Genomic DNA, 15,024 nt, shown 5'->3' on the forward strand with positions numbered 1-15,024 from the left:
TAAACATATTATAAAACATGCATTACCTGTGGTTAATTTCAAAATTACCAGTCTCCAATTATCAGTTACCCATTACCAGTAACCAACGTAAACTGTAATGATTCCTTTATAGAGTTTATTGCTTAAACTGTAATATGAGAGGGGAGACAATATCAGAAAGGCAGAAATGGCTATCTTTGAATGCTTAAATATTCAATTAACCACTGTATGACTTTAATTGAAGAATTTAAACTTTCTGAATCTCAGTTTCCCTGTGTGTAAAGTGGGGAGAATACTCATGTGAATTACATAGGCCAATTCCTATCCCATGGTAAATAGCCAGTAAATTAATTACTACAAATTCAAGCTATGGCAGTTGCCCATATTTGAAATGTGAGTACAACAAGAAACATAGGCTTCTAAAATTTTTATATTTTACTTTGATGTATTATATATTGATTACCTAAGAGCATGGGCCCCGAAGGTAAATTTCTATGTGCAAACCTTGGTTATTCTGCTAATTAGCCATGCGATCTTGATCATTTAAATTCTTTGTACTTCAATTTTTTTTCATCTATAAAATGGAGATACTAATTATGCTTACCTCTTTGTGTAATTACGAGCATTAAATGTGCTATTATATGTAAAATTGCTTAGAACAGGACCTAACACACAGAACATTTTTAGTAAATGTTAGTTATTATAATTGCCTTTGTTATTGTTGTTCTATGCATTGTGTTGTATTCTTTACCAAGTAGTGATAGGTTCCAAGACAGTAACATTGTTTGAAATTGTTACATAGCTTAGTAATGTAGTGAAAAGGAAACATGCTGAAAATATTGTTATATCTGAGTGTGTAAACAAAAAGAAGCCAAATTTTAAACTGCATTCTAATATAACTTTTATTCTGACAGATAGTTTAGAACTTTAGATAGTCTTTCAATAGTTTACTGTCCCTGTCTTTAGGTACAATACATGGATCTTAAACTAAAATCAGTTTTGGAATCTGTATCTGACACCTTTTTGTTTTCCCTCTCCTCCTGCTCCCTCCTTGCTTCCAATTACCTGCCGATAAATGGTTTTAAGCATAGTGGCAGGGTAAGACTGATAGCATTCTGGATGAAACAGGGATGTGTAGGCCATGAGAAACCATAACCTTATCTCACTAGTCTCTTTCTCCTTCACAAGGTTGACATTTAATCCATACTGGCTAAGAATTGAGGAAATCACTTTATATTGAATTTCTTATTGGATATCTAAATTTTTATCAAGATCAATGGCAGTAGTTGCAATTTGTTGTTGATATACTCACATTTCTTTGCCTTATGAGATCTATTTCAAATATATGTCCTTTAAATTTGTATATTTACCTAATTGAAACAAAGCATGCATATAATTATATGTCTACAGATTCCAATTTTATAATGTGGACAGAGTGAGTAAGGGCAGCAATTTTATGTGAAATTGTTTGTACATTTTGTAATAATCTCCGCATGTTCTAAAACACAGAAAAAACATAACCAAAGAAACAGTAACTGAAGAGGAAATGCATTTGTTTAATGCATTCTATTATCTTTGATTAAAACATTCCTTCCTTATGATGTGGGTAATTAAGTATTTATTCAAAAAAATAAAGATAAAACATCACTTCCAGTTTCCAGAATGAGCTCATTTTTTTTTTTCTAGTGAGATTTTTTATGAATCATCCCAGCAGTTTGCCACGTTTAGGAGCTGGAGGATTCACTTGCCATTCCACAGAGTTCTTCTTCTTTTTTTTTTTTTTTAGACAAGGTCTTGCCCTGTAGCCCAGGGTAGATTGAAGAGGGGCGATTTTAGCTCCCTGCAACCTCTGCCTCCTGGGCTCAAGTGATCCTCCCACCTCAGCCTCCCAAGTAGAGTAGCTGAGTAGTTGGGACTACAAACACACGCAGCCACACCCAGCTAATTTTTGTATTTTTTGTATGGATGGGATTTCACAATGTTGTGCAGGCTGGTCTCAAACTCCTGGACTCAAGCAATCTACTTGCCTCAAAAGTGCTGGGATTACAGGTATGAGTCACTGCGCCTGGCCCAAAGAGTTCATTAACGCTTCTTGATCTAAAATAATTACTCCTTTCTTCTCTTGGACAATTCAAGAAAAAAAGATATATAGCTATTCATGAATGAAAAAAAAAAGCTTCTCTTATCTTAGGCAGTGAGACATTAAGATTTATAAAACTATATACTCCCATCCTGAGCTAAAACCACAAACAGTATTTTGACATAACTGTGCTAGAAGGAAGGAAATTGGGAATTATATTCCAATGGTAATAACTACTATTATTCTCAAAGTATGTTCATACCTCTACAATTTTATCTTTACAGACATATGTTAGCAGAGACATATTTGGACCCAACCTATATACTTTTTCTCTATAAAGCATTCAAAGAACAATGTGACGATTACAGTTGTGTGGTAAGAAATATTAATATAAAGAATGTATTAACTGTAAATTGATTGTTAAAGATATTTTACACATTGTGGTTGTTATGTTGTACAAATGTCAAAAAATAATCTTGGGATAAATTGCTTACTTATAATCACTTGATTAATTGCAATTTTTTTGTGTGTGTCAGATATGCTTTTATTTCATCCTGATGACTAGCTATTCAGAGATAAATGTAATGCTTACAGTACCTATATTATCCTAGATTTCTTTCTGGTTTACTTAATAACATTTTAATTTTTAATATCTATTTTAAAAATTTTACTCTACTTGTATCTTTTAAAAGACTCTAATTCTTCCTGAAAGCAGAAATGTATAGTAAAATAGGAGAAATCATTCTTACATGATATGGTTTTACATGATATCCAGAATGCTGCTGGCTTCCAGTTTTTTTGTTTGTTTGTTTGTTTGTTTGTTTGTTTGTTTTGAGATGGTGTCTTGCTCTGTTGCCAGGCTGCAGTGCAGTGGCGCGATCTCAGCTCACTGCAACCTCCGCCTCCCAGGTTCAAGTGTTTCTCCCCTCTCAGTTTCCCAAGTAGCTGGGACTACAGGCACACACCACCACGCCTGCTCATTTTTGTATTTTTAGTAGAGACAGGGTTTCACCATGTTAGTCAGGATGGTTTTGATCTCTTAACCTCGTGATCCGCCTGCCTCCGCCTCCCAAAGTGCTGGGATGACAGGCGTGAGCCACCGTGCCCAGTCACTTCCAATTTTAAAATAGAGAATTCGACTGGCTAGGCCAATGTCTCTTTGAGTTCTCACACTAAGTTTTTCTTGTTGGGTAGTTGAATTAGAAGAAGTTATCCTAGGAATTTAGGTTAGGCATGGTGGCTCACGCCTTCCATCCCAGCACTTTGAGGGGCCAATGGGGGCAGACTGGTTGAGCCCCAGAGTTCTAGACAAGCCAGCCTGGACAACGGTGAAACCTCATATCTACAAAAATTACAAAAATTAGCCAGGCATGGTGGCACATGCCTGTAGTCCCAGCTACTCAGGAGGCTGAGGTAGGAGGATAGATTGAGTCCCGAAAGTCAAGGCTGCAGTGAGCTGTGAAGGTGACACTGCACTCCAGGCTGGGTGACAGAACACTGAGCAAGACCCTGTCTCCATTAAAAAAGAAAAAAAGGAAAAAGAAAATTTCTTCTAGGAATCTAGTCTCTAAATACACTTATGGGTATTTTCTCATCTACTCTTTCAAATTCTGATGATTCCTTTTACAACTCAATAGTAGATTAGGACAGAGTTTCCAAGTTATTCAACTGAGATAGAATTTGAACATTATTCATGATTTTTGGCTAAGACAGTCTAGGCAGAGAGCAGCTGTGGCAATCAGAATTCTTAGCAATTGCCTGACTACTACTAGTCTGACAGAGATCTTCCTTTGGCCAATGATTTCTCTTTTCTCTCATCTTCATTTTCTTGCCTCTCCTTTGCACTACCTCCATCCTGTAACCCTAATCAGATCGTCCACAATTCCAGAGCCCCAGTTCCTTTTATAATATAATTATATATAATTATAATAAAAGTTACTTTTTAAATTGAGGGCATACTCTATTAGAGCCACTCTGCTAACCATTTTGCATGCATTACGATGCAGTCTCATGTTTTATGGATTGAGTGACCATGTGTTCTGTTTTTCAAGAACAATTCTATTTATCTTGATTGTACTGGTATACTTAATCATAGTGCTCCCTTTCATTCTCAGAAGTGACCTGGTTAGGACAATAACCGATATGATCATTACATATTTTATTAGCTTCCCAGGGCTGTTATAACAAATTACAAAACACTTAGTGGCTTAAAACAATAAAAATTTATTCTTTCACAGTTCTGGAGGCAACACGTCTGAAATCAAGGTGTCAGCAGGGCTCCCTCCCAAGGCTGTAGGGGAAAGTCCTTCTATCCCTCTTCCAGTTTCTGCTGGTGCCTGACTCTCTTGATTTGTGACAGAATAACTCCAGTCTCTGCCTCCATCTTCACATGGCCTTCTCCATGTCTCTGTGTCCTTTTCTCTTCTGTTTCTTATAAGGACACTTTCTCTTGGATGACAATGACAGATAATCTTTCTAATCCACATAATCTTATCTCAACATCCATCCTCACCTTACCTTAACTTACCTTATCTGTAAAGACCTTCATTCTAAATTAGGTCACTTTCTGAGGTTTTAGGTAGACATATCTTTTGGGGGCTATAATTCAACCAATGACCTATAGATACATGTAGTAAGTTTTTAAACTGGCATATTAAAAATATGCCTTGTTAAAATTGCCTTTGAAAAATATCTCCATATCTGTGAGGGATTGCTTCCAGGACCCTCACTAATAACCAAAGTCTTAGCATAATCAAATGCTGTAGCTGGCGCTGCAGAGCCCATGGATACAAAAAGTCATCATTCCTTATACGTGAGTTTCACATCTCGAGAATACTGCACTTCCCACCTGCATTTTGTTGCCAATGTGGAACCTGACAATGTGGAGGCCTGACTGCACTTATTGAAAAAAAATCCGCCATAAGCGGGATTTGAACTGCCCATTCAGTTCAAACCCGTGTTGTGTAAGAGTCAACTGTATAAAATAATTTTTATTCACATTAAAATTTGAAACTGCTTGGTCAAACTGAACAAAACATAGCAAGAAAAGTCTTTGTTCAATTTAGAAAATTTAAATAATTTATTATGACTTTAAGACAATAAAGGTAAATTTCAAGCCTTGAAGGGGGAAGCTTGGAGAATTAAAAAAATATATATATATTCCTCCTTGCCTCTACTGTGTTATAGTAATCTTGTTTAAGCTTAATATAATTAACAAATTCTTGTTCCAAGAATTACATATGATAGAGAAATCTCTTCTCAGTTGTATCTCATTTGAGCCTCATTTTAATTCATAACTTATCCTCACATTACAGATAAGGAATTCATAGCTTAGAGATAAGTTTCCAGCAACAGTTCACATTTAGAAAGCTGTAGAACTAAGATTCTAGTTCTGATGGCAAAACAGATTCTCTGAAATACTATGTCACTGATAGCAGTTAATAATTAGATTAGATATCATAATTACAGATACTATAGCTTTAGTATAATAGATAATATAGATATAATTGCATGTAATTATTAGATAATTAGAAAATCCTTCTAATAACAAATGCAACAACTTTTAAATTAGTTTATAGATTAAAAAGGCTATAATTCATGTTTAAAAACAGAATAATACCAATACAAAGATAAAGTAATTCCTCTAGATTCCTCAGTTCATGTGGAAAAATCACTACGGGGAATTTTTATGCAGATAATTTTTCTACGCATTTACAGGTACATACGTACATATGTACATACACATGTGTGTATTATACATATAATACACACATATATCTTTTATATGTATATTATATATAATACACACATATATCTTTTACATCTTATACAAATGAGATTCAACTTGACATAATGTTCTGCAACCTTTTCCACTTGATGAATAGCTTGTCATGTAGATCTTCCTTATTCTTTGTAGCTGCTACTTACCATAACTTTTTGGGGATGTTTTCTATAATTTAGTTAGATGGCTCTTTTTTTCCATAAGTTATTGAGGTACCGGTGTATTTGGTTACATTAGTAAGTTCTTTAGTGGTGATTTGTGAGATTTTGGTGCACCCATCACCCGAGCGGTATACACTGCACCATATTTGCAGTCTTTTATCCCTTGTCCCACTCCCACTCTTCTCCCCAAGTCCCCAAAGTCCATTGTATCATTCTTATGCCTTTGTGTCCTCATAGCTTAGCTCTCACACATCAGTAAGAATATATGACCTTTGCTTTTCCATTCCTGAGTTACTTCACTTAGAATAATAGTCTCCAACTCAACCAGGTCGCTGCAAATGCTATTAATTCATTCCTTTTTGTGGCTGCATAGTATTCCATTACACACACACACACACACACACACACACACACACACACACACACATATATATACACGCCACTGTTTCTTTATCCACTCATTGATTGACCAGCATTTGGGTTGGTTCCATGATTTTGCAATTGTGAATTGTGCTGTTATATACATGCATGTGCAAGTATCTTTTTCAAATAATGACTTCTTTTCCTCTGAGTAGGTACTCAGTAGTGGGGTTCCTGGATCAAATGGTAGTTCTACTTTTAGTTCTTTAAGGAATCGCCACACTATTTTCCTCAGTGGCTGTACTAGTTTACATTCCCACCAGCAGAGTAGAAGTGTTCCCTGTTCACCACATCCATTCCAAAATCTACTATTTTTTGATTTTTTGACTATGGCCATTCTTGCAGGTGGTGTCGCATTGTGGTTTTGATTTACATTTCCCTGATCATTAGTGATGCTGAGCATTATTTCAAATGTTTGTTGGTCATTTGTATATCTTCTTTCTGAGAATTGTCTATTCATGTCCTTAGCCCAATTTTTGATGAGATTATTTGTTTTTTTCTCGTTAATTTGTTTGAGTTCATTGTAGATTCTGGATATTAGTCTTTTGTCAGATGTATAGATTGTGAAGATTTTCTCCCACTCTGTGGATTGTCTATATACTCTGCTGACTGTTCCTTTTGCCATGCAAAAGCTCTTTAGTTTAGTCAGGTCCCAGATATTTATCTTTGTTTTTACTACATTTGCTTTTGCAAGTGTTCTTGGTCATGAAATCCTTGCCTAAGCCAATGTCTAGAAGGGTTTTTTCAATGTTATCTTCTAGAATTTTTATAGTTTCAGGTATTAGGTTTAAGTCCTTAATCCACCTTGAGTTCATTTTTGTATAAGGCGAGAAATGAGGATTCAGTTTCATTCTCCTACATGTGGCTAGCCAATTATCCCATCACCATTTGTTGAAAAGAGTGTCCTTTTCCCACTTTATGTTTTTGTTTGCCTTGTCAAAGATCAGGTGGCTGTAAGTACTTGGGTGTATTTCTGGGTTTTCTATTCTGTTCCATTGGTCTATGTGCCTATTTTTATACCAATACCATGCTGTTTTGGTGACTATGGCCTTATAGCATAGTTTGAAATCAGGTAGTGTGATGCCTCCAGATTTTCTCTTTTTGCTTAGTCTTGCTTTGGCTATGCAGGCTTTTTATTGGTTCTATATGAATTTTAGAATTTTTTTTTATAATTCTGTGAAGAATGATGGTGGTATTTTGATGGGGATTGCATGGAATTTGTACATTTCTTTTGGCAGTATGTTCATTTTCACAATATTAATTCTATCCATTCATGAGCATGGGATGTGTTTCCATTAGTTTACGTTGTCTATTATTTCTTTTAGCAGTGTTTCATAGTTTTTCTTGTAGAGGTCTTTGGACTGCATCCAAAGGTATATTTCTAAGTATTTTATTTTATTTTATTTTATTTTATTTTATTTTATTTTACTTTTTGCAGCTATTGTAAAAGGGGTTGAGTTCTTGATTTGATTCTCTGCTTGGTCACTGTTGGTGTATAGAAGAGCTACAGATTCGTGTACATTAATTTTGTACCTCAAAACTTTGCTGAATTCTTCTATCAGCTCTAGGAGCTTCCTGGAAGAGTCCTTAGGGTTTTCAAGGAAAACGGTTATATCATCAGCAAACAGTGACAGTTTGACTTCCTCTTTACTGATTTGGATGTCCTTTATTTCTTTCCCTTGTCTGATTGCTCTGGCTAGGACTTCCAGTACTGCATTGAAGAGGAGTGGTGAGAGTGGGCATCCTTACCTTGTTCCAGTTCTTAGAGGGAATGCTTTCAACCCTTCCCCATTCAGCATTATGTTGGATGTTGGTTTGCCATAGATGGATTTTATTACATTAAGATATGTCCCTTGTATGCCGATTTTGTTGAGAGTTTTAATCATAAAGGATGCTGGATTTTGTTGAATACATTTTTGAATCTATTGAGATGATCATGTGATCTTTGTTTTTAATTCTCTTTCTGTGGTGTATCACATTTATTGACTTATTATCATGCTTCTTGGTGTGGATCTTTTGCTAGTGAGTTCTTATCCATTCTGAGGTTCTGTATCTCTTAAGCAGAGCATTTAGGCCATTTGCATTCAATGTTAGTATTGAAATGTGAGGTACCGTTGCATTCATCGTGCTCTTTGTTGCCCGTGTACTTTGGGTTTTTGTTTTTTGTTTTTGCTTTTTAACTTGTATTTTTGTTTAATAGGTCCTGTGTGATTTATGCTTTAAAGAGGTTCTGTTTTGATGTGTTTCCAGGACTTGTTTCAAGATTTAGAGCTCCTTTTAGCAGTACTTACAGTGGTGGCTTGGTAAGGGCAAATTCTCTCAGCATTTGTTTGTCTGAAAACAGTTGTATCTTTCCTTGATATATGATGCTTAGTTTTGCTGCATACAAAATTCTTGGCTGATAATTGTTTTGTTTGAGGAGGCTGAAAATAGGGCCCCAATCCCTTCTAGATCGTAGGGTTTCTGCTGAGCAATCTGCCGTTAATCTGATAGGTGTTCCTTTACAGGTTACTTGGTGCTTCTGCCTCACAGCTCTTAAGATTCTGTCCTTCGTCTTATCTTTGGATAAATCAGGGATATCCTCTTAGTGTGGATTCTTTGCTGGTGAACTAGTATGATTTTGCGGGGGCGTGTTGAAGAGCTTTGTTTTGTTATATTACCAGGGTTGGTTTCTGGTTCCTTCTCATTTGGGTAGGCTCTGTCAGAGGGAAGGTCTAGGGTTGAAGGCTGTTGTTTGGAATCTTTTGTCCCTCAGAGTGTTCCCTTGATGTAATACTTTCCCTCTTTTCCTGTGGATGTGGCTTCCTGTGAGCCGAACTGCAGTGATTGTTGTCTCTCTTCTGGGTCTAGCTACCCAGCGAGTCTACCCAGCTCTGGGGTGATATTGGGGTTGTCTGCACAGAGTCCTGGGATGTTAACCTCTATGGGTCTCTCAGCCATGGATACCGGTGCCCATTCTGGTGTAGATGGTGGGGGGTGTGCAATGGACTCCATGAGGGTTCTTAGCTTTGGTGGTTTAATATTCTATTTTTGTGTTGGTTGGCCTCCTGCCAGAAGGTGGCACTTTCCAGAGAGTATCAGCTGTGATATTATGGGGAGGAACTGGCAGTGGCCAGGGCCCTAGAACTCCCAGATTATATGCCCTTTGTCTTCCACTACCAGGGTGGGTAGGGAAGGACTATCAGGTGAGGGCGGGGCTAGGTGTGTCTGAGTTCAGCCTCTCCTTGGGCAGGTCTTGCCGCGGCTGCTGGGAGGGATGGGGGTGAGATTCCCAGGTCATTGGAGTTGTGTATCTAGGAGGATGATTGCTGCCTCTGCTGAGTCATGCAGGTTGTCAGGAAAGTTGAGGAAAGTCGGCAGTCACAGGCCTCACCCAGTTCCCACGCAATCTGAAGGGCCGGTCTCACTCCCATTGTGCCCCATCAATAGCCCCCAGACCATTTCCAGCTGGAGAGCGATACAGGCTTGAAAACATACCCCAGGCTATCTGCCTCCCAGCTGTGAAAGAAAAGGGCTTGGTTCTTTCCCTGCCTAAGGAGTCTGCACACCGGATTTACATCCTCCCCCGAGTGCTGGCCAGAAGGCTTCTCACCTGTTCAAATTGTTACGAAGTTCAGTTAGAGATTTGCTTCTCCCTGTGTAGTTTTACCCCCTGCTCCTCTCCCGTTGGATCCCTGTATTGCCAGGCAGGAATGGCCTGCTACAGGACCCCGCGAGCTCCCAGGGCCTTTCTGCTGCTTTCTGTACCCCTGTATTTCACTCGGCTCTCCAAATGGACTCAGCTCCAGGTAAGGTCATAAACTTCTCCTGCAAACAGACCTTCAGCGTCTCCAGTGGGGGTGTGTGTTTGGGAGAGGAGGGTCTCCCTTTCCCACTTCTGCAGTTGGGGCACTTAGAGTTTTGGGGGGTCTCCTGGGTCCTTCAGGAGTAGTCCACTTCCTTCAGAGGGTCTGTAGGTCTTCTCTGGATTGCTGATTTCTAGATGGCTTTTATAAACAATGCTGCAACCAACATGTTGGTACACATGTATTTGAAAATATGTGTGCGATAGCTTGAAGATAAAGTCCTTGAAGTAAAAATTCTTTGTCAAAAGGCATGCTAATTTGAATTTCAAAAGATATTGTCAGGTAAGTAATATGATACTTTTTGAAGCAAGAAAATTCATTGCTGGAACATTTATACTTGTTATAAATTTTTAATATATCTAACCAAATCAGCCTTATTCTAAATTTTAACCACTGTTTCTGTTTCTGCCCTCTGGAAGAACCACCACCGCAAAAATAAGTATTTGCCTTTGTAGTATAACTTACATTGAAATACTTTTAAAAAGGCTCATCTAAATATTTTTCTCTTCATGTAGAACATTCTCAGTTTTGCAACTATTCATCTTCGGAACAGTTTCAGAACCTTTATCTGACTGTTTATAATTCTCTGACTTTATCTGTGTCTTTAAGTGTGCTGCTTTCTCCCAGTGCAAAGCCTTGTGAAAAACTTGCAGAGATCTCGTTTGCAATTGATGTGGTCCAAGGAAGAGCCCTCACAAATTCTTACTTCATCTACCAGGGTGTGACAAGACACCATTTCATTTGTTGAATTTTTTTTTGAATTGGAATGAATTAAAGATACATTGCCTTGTCCTACTTAGTATGATAGGAAACAGATTATTTTAGACAGAAATTTTAATGAGCACATGCTATATTTTAGTAAGTTTTTTTTTCTTATGGGTCACAAATGTAATTCCTCTAGATTCCCCAGTTTGTGTAGAGAAGACACTACAGAGTTTTTATGTAGACTAGAAGTTTTTCTATGCATTTATAAGTACATATATTATGCATGTAAAATACACACATATATCTTTTACATTATCTTATACATAATGTCAAATTGAATCTCATTGCATAAATATTAATAAAGGTTTTTAAATCTTTGTATAAAATAAGATTTATAAATCATAAAATGAGATTCAACTTGACATAATGTTCTGCAACCTTTTACACTTGGATCTAGTATTTTTCCTGGGAATTAACATTATTCTTACTTTTTCATAGTTTCTGCAATGTATTTGTTCTCTTGTTTAGAATATCAGAACTTTCTCTTCCAATTTTCTTCGCCATTTCTCAAATATTTGTTCAAGATCACCTCGTACGGCTTTATGATCATTAAAAAATTATTAACAGAACATAGACATGGAAGGCTGTATGTTCTATGGAGTATACTCTGGGGAGCATCTTAAGGCCATCTTTCTAATCAAGTATATATGTACTATGGTTGCTGCAAAGCTGCATTGTAAACATGGAACATAAACCCACAGAAAGACTTGTGCAGAGCGCTCATAGAAGCCTTATCTACAATATCACAATATTACTAGCCAAATGTCTGTTGACAGGTGAATGGATACACAAAATGTGATATATCCATATAATGAAATAATATTAAGCAATAAAAAGTCTATTTAGTACTTGAAATATGCTAACCTGGATCTAGACCCTAGTCCGAGATGGACTAACCTGGACCTCAACCTGAAACATTTTGAAATGACCTGTAGCCTCTTGCTGTCTTCTCCACTCAGCTGCTCTTCTACTTCACTTGACAACTGAAAGATGTTTGCGAATCCCTTCAGAATTTTCTTTTTTATTGTTTGTGTACTAATATACACCATGTTCTGCAGTGGTGTTCTTTTTCACTCCAACTATTATAGGTTTCATCTGAATTTTTAAATTTTGCTTTTAGAAAATATAGGACTGCGTAGAATCATGGTAGTCTTTTCTTTGAGAAGGTTATACATTCTTGATATACAATATCTGAAAAAACCAGAAATAGCTGTGATAAATTACCATGTTTCTGATTATTCAGATGGGTCAGTGGACTATTACAGACTCCAAAGCATCAGAATTGTTGGATGTTTTAAGATTTGCCTTTCATTTATTCTGTGACTCTTTAGGAAAAAGTACCAGAGATAAAATATGGGCATTTATGTAGCAGGGCTCACTCTCCTCATATCACAGGACACTACAATTATGGTAGCATAAGGAGTATTCCTCTTTTTTCCTTTGATTATAAATAATGAGTGCTCCTAGAATTAGAAATAGAGAAATGCAAGAAGCCAATGTTGTTAAAGATGGAATGACTGAAATAAAAGCACAGGAAACTTAAAGTCAGTGATATGTTATAAGTATTGAGGTACTTTTTACATCTTTTATGTGACCTTGTAAACCCCTTGGCAGAAATTCAAACCTTACCACTAAAGTCTGCTAACTTGAGAGAAGAGTGAAAATAAACAGGTCCTGAGGTATCTTAAAGAGTTAGCTAGACCTCGCCTACTATAAGCATAAATTTTGGTATCTAGAGCTTTCCTATTACGAAGTGATTTAATTTTACTTTATACATATAGTATTCCTATTGTTTTAATATATTTAAAGTCTAGTTAAATTTTTATTTTTTCCTTTCAAGCTTCCTGGTAAAACTCTTAACTCCAGGAAGATGGTCCATATTTTAAAAACAGCTTTGTTGGCATACAGTTTATAAACAATTAGCTGCATTTATTAATAGTGTATCATTTTATAAATTTTACATATGTAGGCATCCATGAAATCATCACAATCAAGATAATGAACATACTCATCACCCTCAAAAGTTTATTTGTACCCCTTCGAAAGTTTTCCCTTTTACCCTTCTCTGTACCCCTCCCTGCAAGCAACCACTGATCTGCTTTCTATCAGTATGTATTAGTTTCTATTTATAGAGTTTTATATAAATGGAATCAGGCAGTATTGCTCTTTTCTGTCTTTTTTCCACTCAGCATAATAATTTTGAGATTCATTAATGTTATAGCTGGTATATTCATTCCTTTTTATTGTTTAGTATTATTTCATTATATAAATATATCACATTTTGTGTATCCATTCATCTGTTGGTACACATTTAGGTTGTAATTTGGGGATATTATAAGTAAAGCTTCCTTAAACACTCACACACATGTCTTTCTATGGACGTATGTTTCATATTTTTACTGTGGCTTTGTAGCAACCATAATATACATACCCTTGATTATAATCATGGCCTTAAGACACTCCCTAGAGTATATGCCATGGAGCATAAAGCCTTCCATATTGCTTATGTTCAGTTAATAATTTTTAATGAAGAACCGAATGAATGATGATGTTGGAGAAAAAATAGAAAGGTGTATCACATAATGAAAAGGAACCTCTATTGAATTGGAAAATCTTGACTCTAACTTCTATCTCACCATATAGTATTAAGCAAGTTACTTAATTTCATACACCTTAGCTCCCTACCTGTAGAAAGGAGATAATACAGGTATGTGATCTTTTTACCACAATTAGTACCCAAATCTTTGAAAATCAAAAGATTTTTGATACTCATTTGGTAGAAAAACTTGACCAGACCTATACTTATTTATTGGAAAAGTCTGACCTGAACTGATGAGAAGCTAGTTATAGTGTTACTGAAATACCAAGGGTTTGGCCTAGGTCCTACGCTGCTTGCTGAACAGAAAGCCAATCACTGAGATGATGAGTATTGTTGGAGAAGGAGGCTTTAATAGGGTGCTGCAGCCAAGAAGGGAGCTCAGTCTCAAATCTGTCTCCTTGATGGACTAAAATTAGTGGTTCGTATAGCAAGGAAGAATTGTAACCATGTGTGGGAAAACAGGAACTAGGAATGGGTAAGGAAGAGGAGTTGGTTAATAGGAAGTAGGTGGTTGGTTAGACAATCATGATGGGTAAGGGATCTGCCCTCTCATTGTCCAAATGCAGTGGTCTGATACTATCTGGGAGGACTGATGGTTGATTTTCTGAGCGAGGAACTCAGATAAGACAACTGTAATTTTCTTCAGTTTTAAGACTGGGAGGATCAGTTTCTATGTTTATTCAAAGAAACCATAAACACCAGCTCTATGGGATTCATAGAGGTTTGAGTCCCCCATTTCTATTAATTTCTCAATCATGGAGAATCTGGCTGTTGATCTTTTTGGCTGCTTCATGCTGAGGAGGGGTGTTGTGAGCAGCTCCATACCACGAGTAACCATGCGGCCACTCAGGAATCAAAAGTTAATCTCATCCCAGTTTTCTCCTGAAACACAATCTTTCTCTTTCCAGTCTCCTACTTCCATTAAAGTCAAATTACAGCAGGACCAATCCTCCTGCAAAGTAAGCTTCCATCTCATATACTTGGCCTGATTACCCACACAATGTGCAGCAAGAATCATTGTCTATATAGGCTCTCTTAAATTGGCTTTTCTGTAGCCTCTCACAAGGCCATTTCAGTCAAAGCCCTGGGAAAATACGTTCCTCCAATTGTGTCCCATTGTTTAACAAAACAAAACAAAACAAAAACGGATTCTTACTGAACTCTTACAGCCAAAAACATTGCCATGAATTAAGAATATTCACAAACAGTTTACAAATTCTGGATAAATTAGGCAGAGAGAGAGAAATATGTCCCAAATTCTGTTTACAAGAGTATACTCTACTCAAGCATTAAAGGTTGTAAATAGCTCAGCAGGAAAACAGTTCTCCAGAGTCTGAAGAGTCAGCAGTGGTTCAAACAACAACAATAACAACAAAGCCATTAAAATGATTTTA

General features: G+C 36.7%; 1 annotated feature.

Annotated features, from left to right (window-relative positions):
* Positions 9,381-10,580: an enhancer, noted in NCBI's record as "CDK7 strongly-dependent group 2 enhancer chr10:54258936-54260135 (GRCh37/hg19 assembly coordinates)". NCBI's record gives its function as "activates an origin of replication core promoter dependent on BRD2, BRD4, P300/CBP, MED14 and CDK7 cofactors, with strong dependence on CDK7, by STARR-seq in HCT116 cells {active_cell/tissue: HCT116}" and the evidence as "EXISTENCE:reporter gene assay evidence [ECO:0000049][PMID:35650434]".

Source organism: Homo sapiens, chromosome 10, assembly GCF_000001405.40.
Source record: "Homo sapiens chromosome 10, GRCh38.p14 Primary Assembly".
NCBI classification, from domain to species: Eukaryota; Metazoa; Chordata; class Mammalia; order Primates; family Hominidae; genus Homo; species Homo sapiens.